Here is a 26872-nt window from a genome sequence, read left to right as displayed (position 1 = left end):
ATCCAGCTAGTTTTTCTATTTTTTGTAGAGACCGGGTTTCACCATGTTGCCCAGACCAGTCTTGAGCTCCTGGCCTCAAGCAATTTGCCTACCTCGGCCTCCCAAAGGCATGAGCTACTGCTCTCCACCAAAATTCAGTCTTTTAAAGTCCATCTGGCTGCCTGTGAAGACTAGCTGGGAGGGTAGAGCGGGTGTGGTCAAGGGACTGCATATTGCTGCTGTCCAGGGAGAGCTGATGATGGCTTGAGCCAAGAGAGTATTGGTGGGAAGGAGTAAGTAGTTAAGAAATGTTAAGTAGGCAGAATGGACAGAACATGATGAATGATGGAATGTGTGGGATCATGGAAAGGAAGGCATACAATTCTTACCTGAGATGCCAGGAGAACAGTGATGCCTTCGATGAGAATAGAGAACCCTGGAAAAGGACCAAGAACTTGTCCTTTGAGCAGTGGCCAGAGACACAAAGATGTGGGTCATGGTAGGCATGGTCCTGAGAGTCTGGGAGGGGCTGAATATTGGGTTTCACAGAATTCACTCTGGAGGTGACCTGTGGAGGGCCCTTGTAGAACTGGGCATGGCATTTTTGAAGGGGGTGTTCATGGATGTTTGCCGCTGACCAGTGGCTGGCAGCTATGAGCTGGAGATCAGGAGCCGGCAGTGGGCAGAACATGGAGAGGCATCAGCTGTGGCCCTGACGGTATCTAAATAGCTGTCACAACCCAAGGCAATGTCAGTGCTCCACTGAATTCTAAGCTGGAGCCTAGTGGGTGAGCCTCTGGCCTCTAGGATCGCTCCCAGGCCCTATTCCATATCCTTCCTATAGTCTGTCTCCATGCAGTGGGTGTTCCCCACTACCAGGAGCTCACACATGGACTCCTGCCCTCCTTGAAGTCTAGAGCATTGCTTCAAGACCACCAGCATCAGGACCACCTGGAGCGCTTGTTAAAAGGGGCAATGCCTGGCGCCACCGCTATTTAACCAGAATCCCCAGCCATAGGGCCTGAGGGTCTATATTTTTAACACATTCTGCTAGGAGTTATATTCACACTTTACTTAGAGAGCCACTAGCCACATGTGGCTATTTAAATTAAGTTTAATTTAAATAAAATTGAAATTTTAGTTCCTTGCTCAAACTAGCCACAGTTCAAGTATTCAATAGCCACGTGTGGCTAGACGGACATTTCCATCATCATAGAAATTTCTGTTGGACAGCACTGGGGCTAGCAGGGAAATTCCAGCCCATTGGATCCTTCTGTGAGAATTTGGGATATCTGTCTTAGCTGATGCATCGCCCACAGGAATGTTCTTTCCTACAGGGAGTGACCACACCTCTTCAGCTTGCCTAATGCCTGCAGTGTAAAAAGCCCCATCCCCTGCCTTGGAGAATCCGGTGCTACCAGAGGGGTCATCTCTGCCCACTTTGATGAAAGGGTGATGGTGCAGTCAAAAATTCTCTAAGCATGACTATAGACTCAGGGAATTAACTCAAGCTACATGCACTTCGGCAATCTAACTAGACCAAACTCCTTCAGATTTAAGTTAAAATCTCTCAACCTTAACATTTAAGATCTTTTTAATTGAGCTAAATTTTGTTTCCTGAGTAAGAGCTAAATTCCCTTGAGCTTCTCCCCTCATTTCATTCTTTGAAGTTGTATAGACGTTGAAGAAGGTCAGAACACCATTTTTAGAGCTTTTTGTTCCTCAACCCGAGTTAACTTGAAAGTGCCTAAACTGGTTAAGATCAACCTTTTTAAAACAGGCCCCTCTGGGTTGTGATTTGAGAGTGTGGCGTCCTTGAGTGAACTCTTTGAAGCTGGAAGAATGAGAGAGGGCATTTGAGATGGAGATGGAGTTCCACATTTCATTACATCCCTTGCACTCCTTCCCTTCTGACACTGCAGACTCAGGGTTTTCTGACGAAAATCCTCCTGCAGCCTTAAGCTCCTTTCCCCAACTCTGTATCCCAAGAGGACAGTAATGGCTGTCCTGGCTCTTCCCAGGAGGTCTCTAGCAGTGGAGAGGCTGATGCCATCTTAGTGGCTGTCATTGCACCTTCCCTCTCCTGGTGCGACCGGGATGGTTACGTGCAGATACTGTGCAGGCTGGGGTCGTTATGGCCTGTCTCTTCTGGATTTTTTCTAGTTGTTGTGTCCTCAAAAGAAAGACCATGATGCTTTCATTGATTGCTTATGACAATAAAACTAACTCTCTGGAAAGCTTGAAAGTTTTGTTAGAGGCGTTTGAACCAGAGCAACTCCATCTTGAATAGGAGCTGGGTAAAATGAGGCTGAAACCTACTGGGCTGCCTTCCTAGACAGTTAAGGCATTCTAAGTCACAGGATGAGAAGGATGTTGGCACAAAATACAGGTCATAAAGACCTTGCTGGTAAAACAGCTTGCAGTAAAGAAGCTGGCTAAAACCCACCAAAACTAAAATGGTCACGAGAGTGACCCCTAGTCATCCTCACTGCTACCCTCCCACCAGCACCATGACAGTTTACAAATGCCGTGGCAACGTCAGGAAGTTACCCTATATGGTCTAAAAAGGGGAGGCATGAATAATCCACCCCTTGTTTAGCATATCATCAAGAAATAACCATAAAAATGGATAACCAGCGGTTCTCGGGGCTGCTGTGTCTATGGAGTAGCCATTCTTATTCCTTTACTTTCTTAATAAACTTGCTTTTGCCTTGAACTGTGGACTTACCCTGAATTCTTTCTTGTGTAAGATCCAAGAACCCTCTTTTGGGGTCTGGATCGGGAACCTTTCCTGTAACTCTTTGACATAATTTTGCTGAGTTCATAAACACAGATTCTGCTACATTCTTACAGTATCATGCCCCAGGAGGCCAAAATCCTAGATTACTGTTTTCAGAAGTGTTTACTTCAAACTCGTTATCTTGAGTGGAGTTGAGCCCTGTCTGTGATTGGCCATGTTTCATAACATGCATGGGAAAACTGCAACTGATAGTCACAGCTCTGTTTTCTTGAGGCCTTCTTACTGGTTTCTTACTTCTATTGTTTTCACAGTTCATTAGTGATGACAAAGAGCTGCAACGTAACTGTATTTACCATTAGCTCATTTGTTGCATGCTGACAGTATGTGGCATATCTTTATTCCTCATCATAGGTAGCATCATCATTACAAAGCTGGGCTTCATCAGGGACTTACAGAGAGATTTGTACACCCACATTCGTGGCAGCGGCATTCACAATGGCCAAAAGGTGGGAACAACCCAAGTGTTCATCGACAGATGAATCAGTCCACAAAATGTGGCATACGTAAAATGAAATTTTATTCAGCCTTCAAAAGGAATGACATTCTGACACATGCCATCACATGAACTTTGAAGACATTATGCTAAGTGAAATGACTCAGACACTAAAGGACAAATATTATGCGATTCTATTTACATGAGGTGTACTTTGAATAGGCAAAATTCGAATAGGCAAAATCATAGAAACAGAAAGTAGAATGGTGGTTACCGGGGCCTGGAGGGTTAGGGAGTGAGGCGTTTGGTGGGCAAAGTTTCTGTTTGGGATGATGAAAGACTTATGGAGATGGATGTCAGTGATGGTTGTACAAAATTGTGAATGTGCTTAACGCCACTGAATTATGCAATTGCAAATGGTTAAAATTATAAATTTTATGTTATGTGTATTTTGCCCCAGTTAAAAAACAAAGCTGGGCTCCTGGTTTGTTTTTATTATCTAACAAAAGGTCTCCCTCCCTGTCCTCCTCCATGAAGGTACATAGTGTAGAGGAAGACGGTGATAGTTTCTTCTAAATCCACCCCCACCGCCCCCCACCTCTCTTTTTTGTAACTCTAAGAAAATCACAATCCTCCAGCTCCATTTAGGCTAGGGGTCCCCAATACCTTCTCTGACGTGCTCTCCCCAACCCTTAGGAACTGGGCCACACAGCAGGGGATGAGTATCTGATGAGTGAGTGAAGCTTCATCTGTATTTACGGCTGCTCCCCATCACTCAGATTACTGCCTGAGCTCCGCCCCCTGTCAGATCAGTGGCGGCATTAGATTCTCATAGGAGAATGAACCCTCTTGTGAACTGTGCATGGGAGGGATCTAGGCTGCCTGCTCCTTATGAGAATCTAATGCCTGATGATCTGTCGCTGTCTCCCATCACCCCCAGATGGGATCGTCTAGTTGCAGAAAAAGCAGCTCAGGGTTCCCACTGATTCTACATGATGGTGAGTTGTATAATTATTTCATTATATATTACAATGTAATAATAGAAATAAAGTACACAATAAATGCAATGTGCTGGAATCATCCTGAAAGCATCCCCTGCCCCCACCCCTGGTCCATGGAAAAATTGTCTTCCATGAAACCGGTCTCAGGTGCCAAAAAGTTTGGGGACCACTGATTGAGGTGACTCTTCTGAGCTAATGAATAAGGGTGTAACTGTGATTCAACAGCAAAACCCAATCTGACTTCCCTGGACTCTTTCTAGAGCTGCTTCCGTATCCCTATCAGAGGAGATGATTGACAGTGTTAGGATTTGGATTTGGATTTGGGTATCAGGCTGCTTGGAGACAAGCCACGTCAGCTCCTCCATTCTAAAATGGAGAGTAAGACCTTCCTCCCAGGTTGTTAGGACAACACAGTGATATGGTTTGGATCTGTGTCCCATCAAATCTCCTGTTCGGTTGTAATCCCCAGTGTTGGAGGTGGAGCCTGGTGGGAGGTGATTGGATCATGGAAGAGGTTTCTTCTGCGTGGTTTAGCGGCATCCCCCTAGTGCTGTTCTCGTGGTGGACTTCTCGTGAAATCGGGTTGTTTAGAAGTGTGTGGAACCTCCCACCTTTCTCTCTTCCTCCTGCTCTGACCATGTGAGATGCTTGCTCCCACTCTGCCATCCACCATGATTGAAAGCTCCCTGAGGCCTCCTCAGAAGCCGAGCAGAAGCTGTCATGCTTCTTGTACAGCTTGCAGAACCATGAGCCAATTAAACCTCTTTTCTTCTTAAATTACCCAGACTCAGGCATTTCTTTGTAACAGTGCGAGAACGGACTAATACATAAGGGATATGGTATTCAGTGTGCTTGACACTGCACTGCCATTCACAGCATGAGTGCTGTTCTGCTGCCATTGCTCTTGCATTATCTCCCTCCTCACCCTGGCCGCTTCTGTCTGCAGGAAAAGGAATCACATGCTCAGGTCTCATCATCTTCCTTCCTGCAAGCAGCTTCCTGTGACTGCCCCTATTCCTGCTTTCCTCACCCATCTTTCTCTTCCTCCTTCATTTTGATGGTCAGACCAGGTCAATCCCAGTACCCTGCCTCGTCCCACCCTGCACCTGCTGCTCTTGTCACCTGAAGGTTTAGATACCCCCATTTCCATTCTCCCCAGCATCAGCAATGGGAGGGCCCCCAAGTCACCTGTGTGCTGTGGGTGGAGGTGGGCCAGGAGGTGCAGTGCAATTCTGTAGGCCTGTGGAGCCCAGGGACCACCTGTTTGGCTGGCCTGGCTACAGATTAGGTGAGGTGCATGCAACAGTTAATTGCTATGTACCCATCGCCTGTGTGCAACAATTACCATGCAATTATCAGACTCCCCCACCCCCAGACATCACGTCATTTCACCTGCAAATTCTGACATATGTATTGCTAAAAAAAGAATTATTTTTATCACACCTAAAAGATAAAAATTTTATAGTACTATCAAATGTCCAGCCAGTATTCATGTTTCCCAGATTTTATATCTCTCCATTTTTTTCTTGGCAGTTGGATTGCTTGAACTTGGTTATAAACACAGTCCCCACGTTGTATGTGTCTGCTACATTTTTAATGTGTCTTTTAATATATAGGTTCCCTATCCTTCCTTTTAATTCTTGCAATTAAAATCTTGCAGTCCTTACAAATGAAACCAGATTTTTATACTCAGTAGAATTTTCCACACTCTCAATTTGCTGATTTCATCCTCTTGGTGCTGTCTAGCCTGTTCCTCTGGGCCCTGTGTTTTCTGTTTACTGGTAGGTAATTCAGTGTACAGGCTTGTGCAGATTGAGGTACTGGTTTTAGGCAGGATGACATTGCAGGTGGTCCTCGTTCTTCTCTTGTGCCATGTCAATAGTTCTGTGACCTCTGATTGTCTTGTTTTGTGATGACAGGTTGACCACTGAGTTTGGGGTCACTCTGATGCTTCCATTAGAAAAGTCTGCCTGAGACTTCACCCACCAGGTTCAGTGGCCATTAACAATCAGTGCCTAGATCTGTTCTTTCCTTGGGTCCTGCAAAATGGCAGTGTTCTATCATTCTTTCTTCTTTTATTAGCTGAAATGCTCCTATAGAGAAGAACTTTCCCTCATCAATTATTGGTTTCCCTGAGATATGAGATAAAAAGCAAGATAAATTTTTCTTAGAGACCACCTCTACTTATCACTCTGCCTTTGCCAGTGGGTAGCCACTGTATTCCCCAAATTTAGCATCTCACATTTGGTGATATGCTGCACAGCCCCCTGCTGAGGGTCCACATTTGTAAAAGGTTCTGTGGGGATAACGAGGTGCACCACAGCCTGTCCTGGAGTAGCTTCTTATACTCTGTAAACACTTCTTGATCCAAAAGCCTTGTATTTTCACATTGAACCATAAATTACCCATATAGATATTACACAAATCTTTTTATTTAGAGTGCTGGATAAAAGGCTGACTTTGAAACTGCTCTACAGAGACCTAATTTTCTTGCTGTTTTTAAAGACAAAGGCATCCTCACATCTGGCACGGAGGTAGATGCTGGGGTGAGAACAGGGAAGCAGGAACTGGTTCCAGTGTTGCTAGTAGGAAAAGCAGGGGTCTGGATTGCGTCTAGACATAGCCTGTCCCTTGGAGGACTGTTTCCATTCCAATGGCAATGGCAAGTTAAAAAAAACAAAAAACAAAAAAACAACGTTTCATTCACAAGCAGGCTTAGTCCCACTGAAGGAAAATCGCCGTAATTGGCAAAGACCAAAGCCAGAGAAGACACAGAGGCTAACCCTACTTCTTCAGGGACCCGCGAGAAAAACAAAACGAGGGCGTTTGTCTAAAAATGTTATGAAATACTCACTTCTTTCTTCTCAGTATGCTGGTGGATTTCACTGTGGGATGAGGTAGATTCAACATAAGTGGAGAACAAGGCTTTCTTTATTTTCTTCTATGATTTTCTTCCTTATGAAAAACATGTGGTCAGATAGAAGATGATACAAAACCAAGCCCCCACAGGAGGGTTATCTGGGGAGACGATTTATTTAGAAAGAGTTATTTTCACAGCCCTTCTAAGGCCACTTCTTCAGCTTCAACTGGCCTAGAGGATTTTGTTGGTCAGTTTCGTGGTTTTCTTTGAAAATCTGACAGGCTCCAGTGGAGAAGCCTCTCGTGCTGTGTCCACAGCCGGCCAGCACCCATTAAGCAAATATCAGCATCACAGAAGTTCCTTGGGAGTTGTGGGAAATGGTTTTTACATGTGGTTTTCGTAAAATGAAAACAATTATTCATTAATATTTTCACTAAAGTTTTGATGGTATTGTACATTCATATCAACAAAATATATAGAATGTTAGGTTGGTTAAATGAAAAAATATGAAGTGACATTAAAAACTTACTAAAAATACTAGCCCTACAATTCAATAAATATGTTTAAAATTCATTTATATTTTGGAGCAAATTCATTATCTTACCAAATAGGGTAATGATTATGACTGGATAACATCACTTCTTATATTCTGTAAGTACTTCCTGATCCAAAAGCCTTGTATTTTTATATTGGACCATAAATTACCTGTATAGATATTACATAAATCTCTTTTTATCTAGAAAATTATTTAAGACAGCTGCTTTTTCCAAAGTAATTTTACATGTAGGAACTGAAATCACTGATGTAGATGGAAATATGTTATTCAATCAGTTAATTGGTTTTTACCCTATCATATTATAGAAAAGATTCAAGGTTACTGAAGGACACATAAATTAATTAGTAAACTTTTTCCAGATGTGTAAAATACACCCCCCTCCCCGCCCACCAACAAACTAACATGTCTGCATTTTACTGTTTTCAGAGCAGCAGTTCTAGTTCATATTGAATAAAAATGATGAAGACCATTTGAGGAAGTATGATGCATGCCTGTTACTGCTTTACTTAAAACAAACAAAAAAACAGCAAAGAGGATCTAGTGTGATATAGGGGAGAAGCACTGAGCCAAGGGAAAGGAAACATGAAATCTCTGGTATTTGTAAGCTCTGTGACTTTAGGCAAATTAAGTAACCTCTCTGGTCCTGAGTTCTCTCATCTATAATCTGAAGTTAAGCCTCCTCAGCTTGGAGACTGGATCAGATGGTTTTCTGGGGCTCCATTTCCACTCTAAGATGTTCGGCCTCAGTAATTTTCTGCATTCAAGTATGTTCTCACTTTAACCAGAGGAATGCTTAAACTGATCCTACTGGCAGAAATCATGCTTACAACACTAGATGAGGAATCATGCAGGGCATGTGGCATTCAAGCATCAAAACAAATTAAACAATTCCTACGAGAGCCAAGGTTTCTTATCTCATTGTATTTCAGTGAACCAGGAAACCCTGAGCGAGTGGCTCCTTCCACATGGTGCTGAGTGCTGTTCCTTGGAAACCTGAGAATCCCAGGATGCATCTCAGTGCCCAGAGCAGTCCATTTTGTTGGGAGATTTAAATGTCTGAGATTCCTCATCTGGGGGAAGTGTGTGCTCTAGGGACATCCCTCGCCAACATGATGAAGCCAGCATGGAGTACCCCACCTGTGGGTTGGAGGCAGGGTGGGAAGTGCCCTTGGCCTGAGGAGTGGGTGGCATTTGATAAAAGCTAGATGCCTTCATGATACTCTTATATATAATGGCAACCTTGACTTCCTTAAAGGCTTTTAAAACAATTTTTAAAGCAGTTATGATAGAAGAAAGGCACTGGGAAGCCTCTGGGACTCTAGTTATGTCCTATTTTTTAAGCCAAGTGATGAGGACATGGGTGTTTATTTTAGTGTTCATTTTTCCACATTCTTTTATGTGTTCACTGTAGGTCACAAAAATAAAACATTATTTTTTGGTAGCAAAACCTGGCAAATATTTTTGTCCAAAAAGGGGTAATCATACTGCTCTTTTTGAACACATTTGTTTTCTTCTTCCCCTCTGACCTGCTTGGCTAGGAATCCTGACTGATTTGCAGATTTGCAGAGGACATTGTCATTGGAATGAGTTTAAGGAAAGTGGCCACTCTTTGTTGCCAAAGACAAAACTTGGCTAAATATTTTGATGAATCGGCATCTTTTTTTCCTATAATCATTGGCATGGAATTCCTATAAGTGGAAATAGTGAAAACCAACACAAATACTATATAAAAAGTAGGATTTCTCAGAATGTATTTGTAATTAAATTTCAGTACTGATATGAAGATACATAAATATATGTACATACTCTACATATACTATATATTATATGATATTACAAAATACAGGTCATTATGCTTAGAATGCAATGACTCATTTTATTAGGTTGAGCCAATAACAAATATATTATGTTTAGAAAAATATGTTAGTTCAACCTATACTATTGATGACTTTTCAAAGATTCTACTGCAGTACAAACATGGCTTATGCCCTAAAAATAATCTATAGGTTTTGATTTAGAAGTAGAATTCCTTCCAACATTTAAATGTTGGGTATTAAAAATACTATCCTGGGAGGCTGAGGCAGGAGAATGACATGAACCCGGGAGGCAGAGCTTGCAGTGAGCGGAGATCGCGCCGCTGCACTCCAGCCTGGGTGACACAGCGAGACTCCATCTCAAAAAAAAAAAAAAAAATACTATCCATCCATCCTTATTAAGAGAGAAAAGGCCTTTTAATCTGTGGGGTGTTTTTGCCGTTTTCGTTTTTTACATTTGGACATTGAAGTGCTTGATGCCATACTGCATATTCTGTTCATCTATTCATGTTTGTTCATTTGCTTATTCATTTAACAAACTGTGTTCCAGATAGTGTATTGGGGTTTGAGACACAGAGATGAATAACACACGGTTCCTGCCCTTCACAAGGCCTAAATCCACCACCGTTTTACACAGTCGCAAAGGATAGGCTTGTCTGAATTGATTTATAACAAATACTCACTATAGGGTATCACTGAACTAGATTGCCAATTAATAGGAAAATTAGATAATATACTGCTCTTCCTATCCCAATCTTTGCCATGTCTTTACTCCCAAAAAATTCAGTAATTTTTGCTTTTTTCTAAGTATAGTCTTAATTGCTAAGTGTTTTCTCAATTTTTCAAAATGAGAACCAGATGAAATGCAGCCCGTTCGTTGTTTCAATCTCCTGTCCTCAGATGAAGCATTCTTGGTTCCCATATAGAATTTTTAAACATACCAGTGTGTGTGTGTGTGCACAGTCGTGCCTTGGTATCTGAAGGAGATTAGCTCCAGAACCCCTCATGGGTACCAAAATTCAAATATGCTCATGTCCCTAATATAAAATGGCATAGTATTTGCATATAACCTACTGTATACTTTAAATCCTCCTGTATACTTTAAATCATCTCTAGATTGCTTATAATACCTAATACAATGTAAATGCTATGTAAATAGTTGTTATCCTGTATATTTTTAAATTTGTATCATTTTTATTGCTGCATTATTATTTTTTGTTTTCTCCCCCAATTATTTTCAATCTGCAATTGGTTGAAACTGAGAGTAGGGAACCCCAGGATGCGGAGGGCCAATTGTATGGACATAAATATAAAGCTCAATATATATGTCACATCATACAAGTATATTTTTTGGTGTAATCTATGGGTGGTCTGTTTCTGTCACAGTGCTTTGGGGTGGACATGATAGACACACATGTCATTACGGTGGCACTGCCACGGCACACCCCTTCTGTCTTAAGATTGATGGTCTCTGGTTTTCAGTGGCAATGTTTCTCTTAAGTGCCGTGGCTGTCATCACTCACCCTCTGTCCACTTTTCACATTACCTTCTTCACAGCCTGACAAGTTATCTGAACAATTAACTGGCCTTAAGGAAAGTTTCAACCTCTGTATGTTCAGAATGAGGGACCTGCTTGCCTGTAAACATTTATTTTGCTTCCTATTTTTGTTTTTACTCTTTTCCCCAGTAGTCCAATTTTTCTAAATAAGAAGCAGATGAAGAGCAGCCCATTGGTTCCTCCAATCTCTTGTCCTCAGATGAAGGTTTCTGGGTTCCCATATAGAAATTTTAAGTGTTTGGGGCTGGCTCAACAGCTTTCCCTTTGGACCCTGTTGTAAACATCGACCACTTTTGATTTATGAGAATCCCAGCCAGGAACAGAGGGCAGCTTTTAAATTGCTAATTTGTATCCATGTTTGCCTGTGAGTATGGATAGTCTAGCAGGCAGCGTGAAGCGCTGGCTCCCGGTCATTTGTCCTGTTGTCCCAGGACAGATCTGAAGAACCAAGTGAAGACTACTTGGCACCAGCCATGGGTAGGTAGGTAATGTGTATGGTAATGTGTATGGTAATGTGTATGGAAGAAATGCTGGGGCCCTTGTAGGCAGGTGGGACCCAGGTGTCACTTGAGGTGGTGGCTGACCTTGCAGGCAGTACTGTCACCTCTGGGAGATCATCCCAGCTTTGCACATCCACAAATCATTCTTGACGGAACTCAAGAGGTCTGACTCACAATGACCAAACTCCCATGTGACAGACACCTAAACCAGACTCATCACTGTCATATATGCATCATTTCCCTATCACCATCCATGAGCTGACTCGATTTCCCTCAGTTTTCTTTAAAGAAAGAATTTCAGTGTTAGATGTTTGGCCCACCAAACCTTACTGAGCGTTTTGGAACTTTTTTTAGGAGTGATCATCAGTTGGGTTGATTGCCCCGGTTTAGTTCTCAGAGAGTGACTTTATTCCCTCATGTGTGGAGAAGATGTACTTTCTCTCTCTAACCCATGCATGGATGATGAATGATAGCTCAAAGCGTTTGTAGTAGAGAACAAAGGAAATCAGGACATCAAATTCCCACCTAAGTATCAAATATTAGAATTGCATTTTCCCATAGTAAAATATTTTGCTGTGTCAGACCAGATCAGGTGCCTGAGACCTTTTGAGTGAACAAAGAAATGAGTGGCCTTTATTTTTGTTAGTAAGAAAGCATGTGATCGCTCTTTTCAGTAAACAAACTTTGCAAAAATATTGAAAAGAGACTTTTTTAAGCCACAAGGGCTATAGCTCATATTGTAAACGTATTATAACTTTGCAGAGCTTGACTTTCCTCTCAAAGCTCCTTGAAGCTTTTTTAAGAAGGGTTTTTCGTCTGTATCACATTTGCTTGGATATCTAAGAAGGTTATTTATTTCACTAGGTAAATTGAGAGCACTGAGCTGGGAATCTGATAATCCCAGGTGAAAGCTGCACTCTGCCGTGTGAATTTAGGAACTGAGCTGTGTAAGCCTCAGTTTGACGTCTGTTAGATACAGACCACCAAGATCCTACTGTTGTTTTAGGAATTAAATACAAAAATCCATAAAACCATTTACTACAGAGTCTAAGGCATAGGAAATATCCCACAAAGGTTAGCTGGTGCTGCTGTTATAAATTCAACCATTATTTTTGACCTCCTGGTATATAACAAGCATTGAACAACACACTGGGGACACGGTAGGGAACAGGGGGGAAACAGCCCTTGACCTCAAAGAGCTTGCAGGCTAGTGGAGCTGTGAGATGCCAAAGAGATGATCTTACAAATAATGGATTATGCTGTTACGTGCACTGGAAGTGCTTACGGGCATGGGCAATGAGGGAAAGAAAGGTGTCTTGGTGTGGCAGCCAGGGAAGGCCCACAGGCTAGAAGTACTGTCACCTGTGGGAGTCAGCCAGGTGCAGAGAGGAGGAAGAGTTTCAGGCCAAGCAAGCAGTGCAAGTAAAGGCCCAGGTGGGTGAGGAGCTTGTGGCATGGAGGCTCTGGCCGAATGCCAGGGCATGGGCTGAGAGAGTAATAAAAAAGGGAGACCAAGGGGCTACCAAAGACCAGACTAGATCTGGCCAGGTTTCAGACGCCACCCTGCACCAGGGGAAGCCACTGAAGGTTGGTAAGTAGGGCATGGATGGATTGAAATGGGTGTTTTAAGAATGGCTTCCTGAATGAAACAAAAAGTATCAAGAGCAGAGGTCGGAGGCCACTGGGAGACCATTACACTGGTGGGGCGTGTGGGGCACGGGTGGGGCGTGTGGGGCACGGAGGCAGTGGGGATGAGTGAGGTGGAGGAATTTAAGAAATAATTAGGGAAAAATCCTGAATCCAGAGACATTTAGATGCAGGTGAAAGTGATAGTCTAGAAAACTGTGAGATGACTCAGACTCTAATGAGGACAAAGACAGATTGCAAATAAAAGTGTTTTTGTAAGATATGAGAGTGCAGAAAGCAATCTGAATAAACTTATGCTTACATTATTTTAAATGTGTGCCTGAATTGGCCAATTAAATATTGTCAGTAGACAGTGGATTGTTCCCCACTGTGTCCCTAGCATATTATTCTATGCTTGATATATAGCAGGAGGTGAAAATTGAATATAAATATAGGGACACAGATATAAAATGGCCAAAAATCCTTTTGGTATCTTCTCATTGTGAAAATTGAGAGGCCAATTCTATTTGAGGTTGCCAAATAGAGTAGGCACCTATCTTACTAGTTATTTCCAGGCATGGTGCCTGTAAAGACACCACCGTTGTCCAGAAATCCATGACCTCTGGTTAGGAACTCACCTGCTTCTAAGTGCCTGGAGTCATTTGCGCTGCTGAGCCTTTCCTGAGCCCTTGGCAAGGCTGACTGGTTTTATAATTCTAACCTCTGCTTTTATATATTCTTATCTTTATCTTTGTTCTTACCTCTATAAAATGAGGATGGTTATATTTCCTTGCCCATCTCCACGGTTGATGGATGCAAGTTATTTCATGAAGCGATTGTAGTATTTTATCTGCGATGTAAATTTTTATGCGATTGTGTGACAGGTCATATTTCCCCATTTTCCTTTATAGTTGTGGATAGAGTTTTATTTAAAGAGTCAATAAAATGTTTTTCTTTTAAATACAGCGTAGAAATGCATGACCACTTTCGTGCACCTGAGAAAGTTGGTGAAAAGAATAGATTATCACATGCTTGAGAAGTTCCTCTTTGTTCTAAGTTGTATTGAGTCAGATCGAGTTCCTTTGCTAAACTCAGTGCAATTCCTGCATTCTCTCAGCAGCGAAGAGGCCATCTCAATACAAATGGAACATTTTGATCGCAGAACAGAAGACCATGTGCACGTTCCAGGGCTACTTAGGTGTTTTGGTGAGGATTGGGCATACCTGGTGTCTGGGCTTTAGGACATCACTGCCTGACATCATTCCTTCCCGGTACTGTCTTTGGAGGGTAACTGTGTGTGTCATTGTGTTTTGCAGAGCACATGTAGGGTTAGGTGGTTGCTGTCAAGTGAAAGGGAATCCAGGCTGGCAGTACACATACAGGTGGTGTCAGTGTTCAGGGAGGAAGGGGCTGAGAGTGGGCACTGCAGGCCTTATGCAGGATGCAGAAGTGGACTGGGGAGCCCCCAGGTGGCCAGTGGGTGGGCTACTGCTAAGAGTGGATGGTCAAATGCTCTGCAAAATATGAAAAGCTGCAAAACCACAGAAGTCCCTCCATCATCATCATCATCATCATCATTATTATTATTATTCCCATCCAAAGGTGCAGGAACAGTATTTCTTAGGAATATATATGCAATATAGTACTTAAAGAACCAGCCTTTGCAATGTTGGTGTTAATATAAAAGAGATTTCTGGATAAACCTACTATCTCCCCATCCTCTAGGGCTCCTATCTCATCTGTCTCCATTCTTTTGAAGCCCTCCAGAGTGATTCAGGGAAAATTTTCTCCAGTTCCTCTGCTTTTTAGTTGGTATAGTCTCTGCTTCTCTGCACTGGGCTATTGTCCAGATAAATGAAGTAGACTCCTGGATTTGTAGACTTTCTAAGTGGAAGTAGATGGAAGTGAGGATGTCTGCTGGAAGGTAAGCTCCTGAAGGCCCCAGGGCTGAATCCCCACCTCCCAGACCAGAGTCTGACACACAGCGACGGCTCAAGGTAGTAGAACCTCTATCAATGCAGAGGGAATGAAGGGACCTCAGAGATCACTGTGGCCACGTCACCCATTTTACAGATGGAGACTGGAAGAGCAGGGAGGTTTAGACACTTGCCCAAGATCCCGTAGTTGTTGGTAGAGTTAGAAACTAAAACAAAGGGTCCAGGTCATAAACCCAGAGTTGTTTCCTAATACATTGGCCTTCTACTGTTACAGAGCCATAGGACTCTGCATTCATGTTTACCCATTCATTCACAAACTAAGCGTTCATTCATACAATGTGATTGGTAGATCTTAGACCAATGGCTTTCGTTCTGCTTGGACATTAGAATCACCTGGAGCAAAAACCAAAGTTGCCAGGTAGGGGGGTGATTTGATTTACTTTTACCTGGACATAAGTATTTTTCTTAAGTGTCCCAGGTGATCTGCAGAAGCAACAGGGTTGAGCACCACCGTGGCAGACTTGGCTGGTCCTAACTACCAGCCGTGGTGGGCGAGTGAAGATATTCCTTTGGCTGGGTGGTAAGTGCCCTGACGAGATGCCCATGGGCACCCACCTCCTTCCCTGCACCGTTCCTGATGCCGAAGGCCCTTGGACAGCCTGCACTAGCTGGATCTGGCTCCGGTAGAGGCGAGGGAAGGATAACACCATAATGACCAGGCGTGTGCCTCGGCTGTCTGCTGCCTCTGTGCAGACATCTCTGAGACTAGCTGCAATGGGGCCAGTTAGCTTTGCCATCCCCCCTTCAGAGTATCATTCAGTTGTCCTGGAGACAACCCTCATGGAGCCAGGTGCTTTGTTGGGGATTCAAAGAAAGGTAAGACGAAGTCCCCATCAGGAGGGACCCTCCGTGGGCAGGAGGAAGTGTGTTTTGATATTAGTATAAAGCGAGGTTGTACTATTTTGTTTAATGCTAGGATTTAAAAATCAGTTTTCCTGGAAACCTTTGCTGTTTGCTTTTTACAAAATTTAATAGTATGGCCATGATGACATCATCAATGTTTAAACTGCCTTATTGGACCCTCCTAGTCCTCCTGCCATGAAGGGGCTGCGTTCTAAGGGTGAGTGTGTGAGGTGGAGCCGTGGGGAGGAAGCTGGGACTGAATGCGAACGAGAGCTGGACTCGGGACACCATCTGAGATTGCCACACACCTGAGGCTTCTTTTTGAGGTACAAAAGGAGCAGTTTCTTACTTCCCAAAGTAAGTCAAAACCTGAGTCTGTTCAGTTCTCAGGCCTCACAAACTTTCATTGAGTGTAGCAAAAGGAAGACAGGAAGAAACCTGTACTTATCACCACCTGACATCAGCCTGAGTGCCAGCTGGCCGGCGACACCACTGGGAGCTGGGACTGCTAGTGTGGAACCCACAGAGGGTGGCATTGCAGGACAAGTCAGCAGATGGGCTCACGACAGGAATGCCCCAAAGCTGTCCAAGCTGACCCCACTTCGGGTGCAGGAAAGCCGTGCTCCGAGGGTGGCCCCTGTCCAAATGCCACCGGGGGCTGGTGACCGGGGCGAACTATGGCCAGAACATGAGACTTCTGTGGTTTGTAAAGGGGGACTGATGTCAGGGAAGAGAGATGGTGCCCTAATTGTCTTAATTATGGTTTATGTCAAGAGAGATGACGTTTTAATGGTTCTAATGACAGTTCCAGGCTGTCAGTACACTCTTAAGTCCTATTGTCTTGAAGCAATTTCTGAACAGGTGAAGAAACCCCTGCAAAACAGAGGGGCCTCCCCAGCGATGGCGACTGTTGCACAGTTCAGAGGAGGCCTGGGAGCATGTGAGCAGAGCGGTCAGTGGCCTTTGTCCTCACTACGGTGGTGGCTCCATGGATGCTCTGGATCCTAGGGAAGGAAGGAAGGAAGAACAGCAGTTCAGGAGGGCCAAGGAAAGGGCCTCCCGCCTGGACCGGGTGTGGAATTGACGCTGAGTAACACACCTGTGCAGGTGGACTCTGTGAGCAAGGCAAGAGGAGATGAGGAGAGCATCCGCAGGGGAAGAGGCCAAGACTGCATCCTGAGAAGGAAGTGTTGTCAGTTGCTCTTGCTGGGGTGAAGCTGACCAGACCGCAGGTTCTTCCTGGAGCCAGTGACAATGCCGACAGCTGACACAGAGGGAGCACATGACTTGCGCTTGGCATTTTCACCTGCATTATCTTGTTTATTCCTCACATCAACCCTATAAGGTATGTGCCATTACTGTCCTTGTCTTCCAGCCAAGGAAACTGAGGCACAGCCCTATCAAATGACTCCCACCAGGTCACGCAGCTGATAGGTGCCAGAGCTGGCTGCAGACCCAGGGAGGCTGCCTGCAGACCCCAAGCTACAAACCTGTTCTAATGGCTGAGAGCTGAACACACCTCCGGAGCCTCCCAAGGGAAAGGAAGGGATGAGCTGGGAAGATGGACAGTGCTGCCCAGGAGGGGACTGGGGAAGGGTAGCAGAGGGGCCATAGGACCTTGGAGGATGGCCACTGAATGGCTCTGACTGAAGATAGCACTGGGCTGGGTGAGCCGGCAGAGACATAGCGCCCTGGAAGTCTGGCCTTCAGCATCCTGTGCTGTAATTGCTCAACTCCAGGTACAGGATGGGGCATGGCAGGCCTGCCAGTGAAGAGAAACGGGGAGGGCTTAGGGCTCACCTCACTCATCCTTGAGGCTTCTCTCATGGAGCCTGTGCCAGCTCAGGCCAGGCAAGAACCGCATCTCATTCCCTGCTTATCCCAGGCTCTGCCCTGGTCCCTACAAGCCCTCTGGGAGGAAGAGTGGGACAGTATGAGGAGGAGAGCAGAAGCCCTCCCCCCACCCAACCCACAAAGATCTGCTCAAGCAAAGTGAGTCCAGGAGCTGTCAGAGGAGCAGGGTTTTCTCTGGGGGGTGGGTGTTCCCCCTCTTAGCCCAAGCTCTGCCACACGAGAAGCAGATGTCTTGTTCTAATCTTCAAGTGGGATGATTCGTGGACACTGCCATTAGCTAGTTTTCTTAACATGAAGAGACAGCTGCTTAGTGGCTATTTCTATGTGGGCTGAGCTCATTCAGTAGAGCAGCTTTCCCCTCTGGAGAACAAGAGAATGATAAGCGAGCATAAATCATGCTAAAAGGAACGACTCCTCATCATGAGTCATTAGGACACATGCCACATTGGCGAGCAGATGAAAAACCTTTGATGAAGACCAGTTGTAAAAGCACAAGCTAATGCTGGAGAAATGCATCATGGTGACTTGAAAGTGTAATATATGCATGCTCACGCTTTCGGTCTTAAAAAAAAAAATTGCAGTAAATGTCAAGAGTGGTCAGAAACCATTTCCTGTGCTGGACCCTGCAGGGAGAGGTTCAGGGAAGGGTGGGTTTGGAAGAATACTTCAAATCAGTGAGTGCTAAGCATATTTTGGCACAGTCCTTCTGGAATGGCATCAGGAATGTGAACCACAGTCCTAAACAGGTATGTCCTGTTATGTGACAGTAGCTATAATAGAACGTCACTTCAGGGTTTCGAGAGCACATATCAGAGCATGGTTGAAAAATCATCCAGAGAAATTCCAAAGAAGACCATGAAGTTGCAAGTGCCACCTTTGTCCCTTTCTACAAGGAGCAGGAGGCAGTATGCCAGGGCTAAGGCATCAGCTCTGCACCCAGGCAACCTGCTCAGTGTCCCTGTTCTACCACTTCATAGCTGTGTGACTGTGGTGGTTAATTTAGGTGTCAACTTGACTGGGTTAACAGACACCGAGAAAGCGGGTAAAGCATTATGTATGGATGTATCCATGAGGAGGGTGTTTCTGGAAGAGATCAGCATTTGAATTGGTGAACTGAGTAAGAAAGATCCCCCGTAACCCAATGTGGGTGGGCACCATCCAGTCAGTTGAGGGCCTGGATAGAACAAAAATAGAGGAAAAGTGAATTTGCCCACTTTCTCTTCTGGAGCTGGGACACTCATCTTCTCCTGCCCTTGGTTGAACATCAGAACTCCAGGTCTCCAGCCTTTAGACTCTGGCCTCCCAGGTCCTCAGACCTTTGGCCTTAGACAGAGTTACATCATCAGCTCCCTTGGTGTTCGGGCCTTTGAACTTGGACTGAGATATGCCACCAACTTCCCCAGTTTTCCAGCTTGCAGACAGCGTATCATGGGCCTTCTTATTCTTCATAACTGCATGAGCCAATTCCCATAATTAATCCTCTCCCATCCATCCATCCATCCCATCCATTCCATCCATCTATCTAATCCATTCTCCAATACATCCATCCCATCCATCAGTCCAATCCATCCATCTAATCCATCCATCCATCTAATCCATCCATCTCATCCATCCCATCCATTGAGTCCATCCATCATCCATCCATCCCATCCATCCACCCATCCATCCTGTCCATCCATCCATCCATCCCATCCATCCATCCAATCCATCCCATCCATCTAATCCATTCATCCCATCCATCATCCATCTCATCCATCCATCCAATCTATCCATCCCACCCAATCCATCCATCCATTTATCCATCCCATCCATCCATCAATCCTGTTCATCCAACCATCTATCCATTCTATCCATCCCATCATCCCATCCATCCATCCTATCCATCCCATCCATCCATCCTATCCATCCCATCCATCCATTGCATCCATCCCATCCATCCATCTGTCCTATCCATCCCACCCATTCATCCATCTATCCTATCCATCCCATCAATTCATGTATCCATCCCATCCATCCATCCAATCCATTCATCCCATCATCCCATCCATCCATCCAATCTATCCATCATATCCATCCATCCCATCCTATCCATCCATCCTATCCATCCATCCCATCCATCCTCTCCATCCCATCCATCCATCCTTCCTATCCATCCCATCCATCCCATCATCCCATCCATTCATCTATCCATGCATCCATCCATCCTATCCATCCTGTCCGTTCATCCATCCATCCCATCCATCCCACCCATCTATCCTATCCATCCATCTATCCATCCTGTCCATCCCATCCATTCATCCCATCCATCGCATCGATTCCATCTGTCCATCCCATCCATCCCATCCATCCATCCATCTATCCTATTGGTTCTGTTTCTCTGGAGAATTTTGACCAAGACAGTGACCTTGGGCAAGTTCTTTAACTTCTTTAAGCCTGCTTCCTCATCTAAATAAAGAATAATAACATGCTACCCACTCTCTGGACAGGTTTCTTTGATTGCAGGCAAGACAAATGCACACTGCTGACTTAAGCAGAGAGGAAATGTTTAGGAAGGAACTGGAGGAAAGCACAACGAACCAGGTCTCAGAAAGGTCGAGGACCAGACCACTTGGGGATCTTGGAAAAAGAACCGATGGACACGCTCAGCAGGGTCTGCCAAGGACTGTCCTTGTGTCATCTGGTCATGTTCCTACCCCTTGGCCAGAGGAGAACAAGCCACTTTGATGTGAGCCAGTGAGAGAGGCAGAGTTTCTATTCCCAGAAGAAAGAAGCAAGAATCTTATGGGGATTGATTAACATCATGTGTGTCAAGTTCTTAGCACCATGCCTAGTACATCATAAGAGCTGAAAAATCAGCCGTTGCATATTAACAATTATAAATTGGAATGGCTGATAGCAGATCAATAATGTAAACTATTCCAAATAAAAAGCTAATGATGCATACACATAAATGAGTGTAATAAAAATTAGAAATACGAATAAGATTGTTGGACTGTATCAGTGTCAATATCCTGGTTGTGAAATTACACTAGAGGCTTGCAAAATCTTTCCACTGGAGGAAATTGGGCAAGGTGGACAGAGATTTTCCCTGTATTATTTCTTAATAAACACATGTGAATCTACAATGGTCTCAACAAAAATTTCGGTTAACAATGTAAAGCTAATGATGGCTTCAGAATCCCAAGAAGTGTTTTGTCCCCATTGCGGTTCCTTGTTTTAATTCCCCAAGCCACAAAAAAATAATCAGAAAAATGTTGTTTACATGTAAGAGTCTTGATGGATTAAAAATTATTTTTAAAGGCTTGAGAGAAACTTAAGATACGATAAACGAGCAGGGCCAGGTCAGAATATTCCCTGCCTAAAAATGTTCATTATTAGGCATATGGTAAACTTGACTACACACACACACGCTCACACACTCCTTCCCTCCCAATAAACATGTGAACAAAATGTCAGCCTGGTTTGTCCCCAGTGGTTTATCTTAGAGAGCACTGTTTGTTCTCAAATCTTATCTATAAATGTTAGTTTATTTAAGTAAAGGTGGGCCCCAGTGAGTGTCAGCTCTGGAGGGATATTTGTTGGGTTTATTGAGTCCTTGAGTCCCTGTTTATATACTCTGGGATTATGCTGGGGGAAGAAACCTCATGCGAGGACTTTGAAGGGCCTTGCGGTCGGTATGCCCTGGCTTGCAGCTTTCTGTGGTAGTCCCGGATGGGTTGGAGTCTTGCTTTGGTGGAAGGGGAATCTAGCCATGCACCAGATTTTTGCTTACTCCTTTTCTTTCCCCTTTCTTTTTCTTCTAGCCAGTGTTTATCAGTGGCCTACTTATTGTGTATGAGTCCCTGTGCTAAGTAGTGAGGATACTAAGACCCAGTTCTCCCTTTAAGGAATTTGCAGCTTGACAGAGGACCATGGTGTGTGCTCCAATAATGAGCAGTCAGGGAAGTGGGTCTGTATGTCTTATGCATGTAACAAAGTGCTAGATGAACTCAAGAAAAGAAGAAAAGCAAATTCAGCCATGAATTCTAAATCAGAATTCCTGCAATTTAAATTACATTGCAGGCAAGGGCTGCATGTTGGTGTCAGTTTTCTTTTTGTTTTTCTTTTTTTTGAGACGGAGTCTGGCAGACTGGAGTGCAGTGGCGTGATCTCGGCTCACTGCAAGCTCCGCCTCCCGGGTTGACGCCATTCTCCTGCCTCAGCCTCCCAAGTAGCTGAGACTACAGGCACAGGCGCCCGCCACCACACGCGGCTAATTTTTTGTATTTTTACTAGAGACGGGTTTCACGGTGTTAGCCAGGATGGTCTTGATCTCCTGACCTCGTGATCCTCCCGCCTCGGCCTCCCGAAGTGCTGGGATTACAGGCATGAGCCATGGCGCCCCGCCTGGTGTTGGTTTTCTAAGGCACTTTGGCTAATTTGTAAGGCGTCTGCTTCCCCTCACAGACATAAATGCACTCCCCATCACCACCAACCCCCACCTAGACTGCCCTCTTTGTGGTCTAGAGGTAGTGGAGAGTAGAGTGTTTGCATTGGATTCTATTGGCCATTAGCTGTGTGGCTACATTTTAGTAGGGGAAATTGATTACAGAATAAAAAATATCTTCCAGAGTTAATTAGAAAGAGAGGATGAGAACATTTTAGCCTAGAGGAGGCAAGACTTAGGAGAAACATAAGCTGTGTGGCCTCAGGTAGAGTACTTAATTTCTCTGTGCCTCAGTTTCCTCCAACTGTAAAGTAAGGATAATAATTTTACTCTATAGTTGGTTCTGGAAATGAAATAGGTAAATACTTGCGAAGGCCAGACATGGTGGCTCATGCCTGTAATCCCAGCACTTCAGGAGGCCGAACGGGGCAGATCACTTGAGGTCAGGAGTTCGAGACCAGCCTGACCAACATCATGAAAACCCATCTCTACTAAAAATACAAAAATTAGCCAGGTACGATGGCGCCTGTCTGTAGTCCCAGCTACTCGGGAGGCTGAGGCAGGAGAATCACTTGAACCCAGGAGGCGGAGGTTACAGTGAGCCAAGGTCGCACCACTGCACTTCAGCCTGGGCGACAGAGACTCTGTCTCAAAATAAATAAATAAATAAATAAATAAATAAATAAATAAATACATACATACATACATACATACATACATACATACATACCTGTGAGGCTCCTAAAACAATACCTAGCTCATGGTATGCATTCGATAATTGTCAAGAGTACTGAAATGTGTTTGCTTGTTGATGAACCTGTCACATGGCAGAGACATCTGTTTGGCCACCAAGGACGAGAACAGACCAGTGAGAAGCCAAAGCAGCACAATCAGCTCTAAAACAAAAGTCACGTTGCCTCGAGGGGTGGCAAGGCCTGTGTTTGGGAGGGCCCAGCCATGACTTAGTGGCAGTTGTGTGTCCTGGTTGAGAGTCAGAAGCCTAAGGAGAGACAAAAATGGTTGTTTGTTATATGCCAGGCTCTGTGCTAAGTGCTCTCATATCAGGGGCGGGGGCCTTGCAAGTTTTGCTCATTTCCGAGTTCATTTGTTCATTCCGAGTACCTAGACAAATTCCTGACATGTGAAGTCGGCATCACCCTGGAAAGAATACGTGAATTATGGCCTTTAATTCTTCCCACTACCCAGTGATGCATAGGGGGTATGACTGCCACACTCAATCTGCAGATGAGGACACTGAGGCCTAGAGAAGGAAGTCATGTCACCCGAGTAATTTCAGCAATGAGCTGTGCCACCAGCAGGTGCAGGGCCAGAGACTTGAACCCACATCTGATACCTTCTCCAGCAATCTTCCAACAGCACTACTGCCTTCACGGCCCACAGACACCATTCTGATTCTCCAGTCTTTGGTTTGAAGAAATTACGAAATTCAAAGAGCATCTTACTCCGTCATTGGCTCGTGGAGCCACAGGATCCCAGGAGGCAGGCTTTGTTTTTATTTCTTGGCGTTTTAGTGAGTGGCTTGACAGAGGAGGAGGTGAAGTTATGGCCACTGTGTGCTGACTGTATTATCTGTTTGTTGCCACCATGCTGATTTGAGAGGTATTTTTAGAGTCATACGTTCATTATTCATGGCTGACATTTTTACTATTACCAAAAACTAGATAACAGCGAAGAATTCCTGGTTGGTGACTTAGTCTCAAGATTGACGCCAAGCCCTGTTTTAAATGATTCACTCTTTTCTTTGGCTGTGGAATGCCATCGGGTCCTTATGACTCAGGGCCAGAAAGCACATGAGTTTCTCAGGACTGAGCCGGGCGCTGGGATTGCCCATACGTCACAGATGGCAGGCTCTCTCCTAAATATCTAACAATAATTGTTGAGTGGACAAGGGTTTCCAAGTTCCTGCTACTACTGTGATACATGAGTGAAATTTGGTTAGTGGCTCTGTTGCTGGGAAGTTTGCCTCGTTGCTGGTTTTGTTGACATTGCACTTGAGTGGAATCGAAACTATTTTGTCTAGGAAAAGGGTGAGAAGAGTTAATATTATACATAAACATTTTATGCAGTGATATTTTCAGACTCTCTCTAAAGGCAGCAATGTTTAAGTAAAGGACGCATTTGATTCTCCTTCAATTTTCTAGCAATGGCCTTCATGTTTTAGCAAAGTTGATTTGAGATAGATACACTAAGGTTGACATGGAAAGGATTTTCTTAGAAACCACTCTCAGATACTTTACAGGATAATTGGAATTATTTTCCAACAAGAAGTAATTTTATACAATTTTGAAACCATTTGTATTTAAATAACAAGTTACATTTCTTCTTTTAGAGAAATAAAAGTTTAAGCAACTTTTGGGCTGAAACTATGGGGTTTGCTAGAAATAGATATAGAATCATGTTGTCTGCTAACGGGAATAGTTTGATTTCTGCTCTTCGTATTTGGATGCCCTTTAATACTTTCTCTTGCCTGATTGCCCTGCCCAGAACTTCCAATACTATGCTGAATAGGAGTGGTGAGAGAGGGCATCCTTGTCTTGTGCTAGTTTTCAAAGGGAATGCTTCCAGCTTTTGCCCATTCATTATGTTGGCTGTGGGTTTGTCATAGATGGCTCTTATTATTTTGAGGTGTGTTCCTTCAATACCTAGTTTATTGAAAGTTTTTAACATGAGGGGGTGTTGAATTTTATCAAAAGCCTTTTCTGCGTCTTTTGAAATGATCATGTGGTTTTTGTCCTCAGTTCTGTTTATGTGATGAATCACATCTATTGTTTTGCATATGTTGAACCAACTTTGCATCCCAGGGATGAAGCCTACTTGATTGTGGTGGATAAGCTTTTCAATGTGCTGCTGGATTCTGTTTGCCAGTATTTTCTTGAGGATTTTTGCATTGATGTTCATCAAGGATATTGGCCTGAAGTTTTCTTTTTTTGTTGTGTCTCTGCCAGGTTTTGGTATATACCTTGTGGATGGCTGGATATTCGCAGTTTACCTTAGGTTGTCTATGGCTATTTTCCTGAGGATAAAACTATAAAATCTGGGGCATTTTACAACAGGTTCAAAATAAATTGGAGAGTCAAGTAATTACTCATAACTTTACATCCACAGATCAATATCTCAGTCTTTTCATCCTTCTCCCAGTTTCTGAGAAAGAGGGTTATCTTTTTGTCCCCAAAGCCATTTGTTCACCTGTATCTTAGGCCCTATTTATTCCTGCCTTTCTCCTCCAGAATGCAAGGGTTTTGTGTCCCTCATTATTTTCTTTGTCTTTACCATTTTTCCTAGGCCCTTCCCTGTGTACTCCTTCCTTTCCACCTCTCAATATGCTCTGATGTCTCCACCATTTTTTAAAAGGTCAATCCAACTATTTTCTCTGTCTTTCTAGCTATCTGTTCATCCATCCATTCCCAGTCAAATTTTCTCCTTTATCTTGCAGCCAAACCGTACACACCTGTAGGCTCTGCTACCCTCTCACTTCTTCATCCATTCCTCTCTCCTGTCACCCCATCCTCTCCGTGACCTTTGCTTTCAGACAACCCAAAGAAAGGGCCACTTTCTTGCCAAATCCAATGCTTTCTTCTCAATCTACTTCCTCCTTGTCATCTGACGCTGCCGTTCATGCTCCCCTTGAGGAGCCCCCTGCCCTGACTCCCATGATAACTTTTTCCTGGTGCTCCCAACCTCTCCAATGGCAAATCCCCTTCACTGCCTTTCCTTCCTCCTAAGTGTGGGTGGATGCCAGGGTGCCTGGTCCTTGGCCCTGGGGTCTGGATTCTTTAGGCTTCCTCTGGGACCTATCTCCCACTCCCATTGATTCCAAAGGCAGTGCCTCTAGCCCCGACCTCCTGCCCACTGCCCAGTCCTTCAGGATGGTCCCCCTATCTTCTAAAGCCATCCTCTCCAACTGGGAGCTCCTGGTGTCCCCCATGCCTCCATAGTGGGCTGCAGTTCCCAATTGTGCGCATTCCTTTCTCAAGCTGGCAGGACTCTCTCCTTTCACCATCTAGGTTTAGTCTAAGTTCCATGTTCTTCAGCGTCTCTGGGGGATGTGTCCTTCCTCTTCCTTGCCTGGCTGCAGGTTCACGTCAGGTCCCACCTGGATTATTTGTCTCCTCAATGACCTTTCAGAAACACCCTGCCACCAGTTTGTCTTACAGAGACAAGTGCCCTTTCCAAAGCACAGACTGGAGCATGCCAATGTGATGCTCACTCTCCCTTGAGGGTTCCCCGAGGCTGGCGAGGGGATGTCCTGGTGCCTTCAGGTGACTCCAACATCTCTGTGTCATGCCCCAGCCTTGCTGTTTGCATTTGCTCCTGCTTACCATCTTCCTTCTCCTTGGTGCAAGCCCCTCCCCTGATCATGTACCCTACTCCCCATCTTCAAACATAGCTGGATGTTGACATCTCTATGTCTTGGCTTCTCCTGTTCTCTTGTGTGGAATGCCATTTTCTCCTTTGCTTGGTGAATGTCTACTCATTTGCTAATGTACAACTCCAATATCATCTTCTCTTAAAGCTTTTGCTGTTCAATTTCTAGTCCCCCATTCCTGTCCCCACTCAAGTAGCATTTTCCTTCCTCTTTCATTCCATACAACTTTACATCTCTC

The 26872-nt window shown here is 44.3% G+C and overlaps 1 protein-coding gene across 5 annotated transcripts in view, besides 1 other annotated feature; it reads left to right on the top strand.

The window, feature by feature from the left end:
- The window catches only part of ADAM12 (ADAM metallopeptidase domain 12), a 376087-nt gene that overhangs the window by 116852 nt on the left and 232363 nt on the right, over positions 1 to 26872 (top strand). The gene's annotated exons all lie outside the window — the stretch shown is intronic.
- Positions 23253 to 24452: an enhancer, noted in NCBI's record as "P300/CBP strongly-dependent group 1 enhancer chr10:127935743-127936942 (GRCh37/hg19 assembly coordinates)". NCBI's record gives its function as "activates an origin of replication core promoter dependent on BRD2, BRD4, P300/CBP, MED14 and CDK7 cofactors, with strong dependence on P300/CBP, by STARR-seq in HCT116 cells {active_cell/tissue: HCT116}" and the evidence as "EXISTENCE:reporter gene assay evidence [ECO:0000049][PMID:35650434]".

The sequence above is a fragment of the Homo sapiens genome, chromosome 10 (assembly GCF_000001405.40).
Source record: "Homo sapiens chromosome 10, GRCh38.p14 Primary Assembly".
NCBI classification, from domain to species: domain Eukaryota; kingdom Metazoa; phylum Chordata; class Mammalia; order Primates; family Hominidae; genus Homo; species Homo sapiens.
This window is presented reverse-complemented; position numbering and strand designations above follow the sequence as displayed.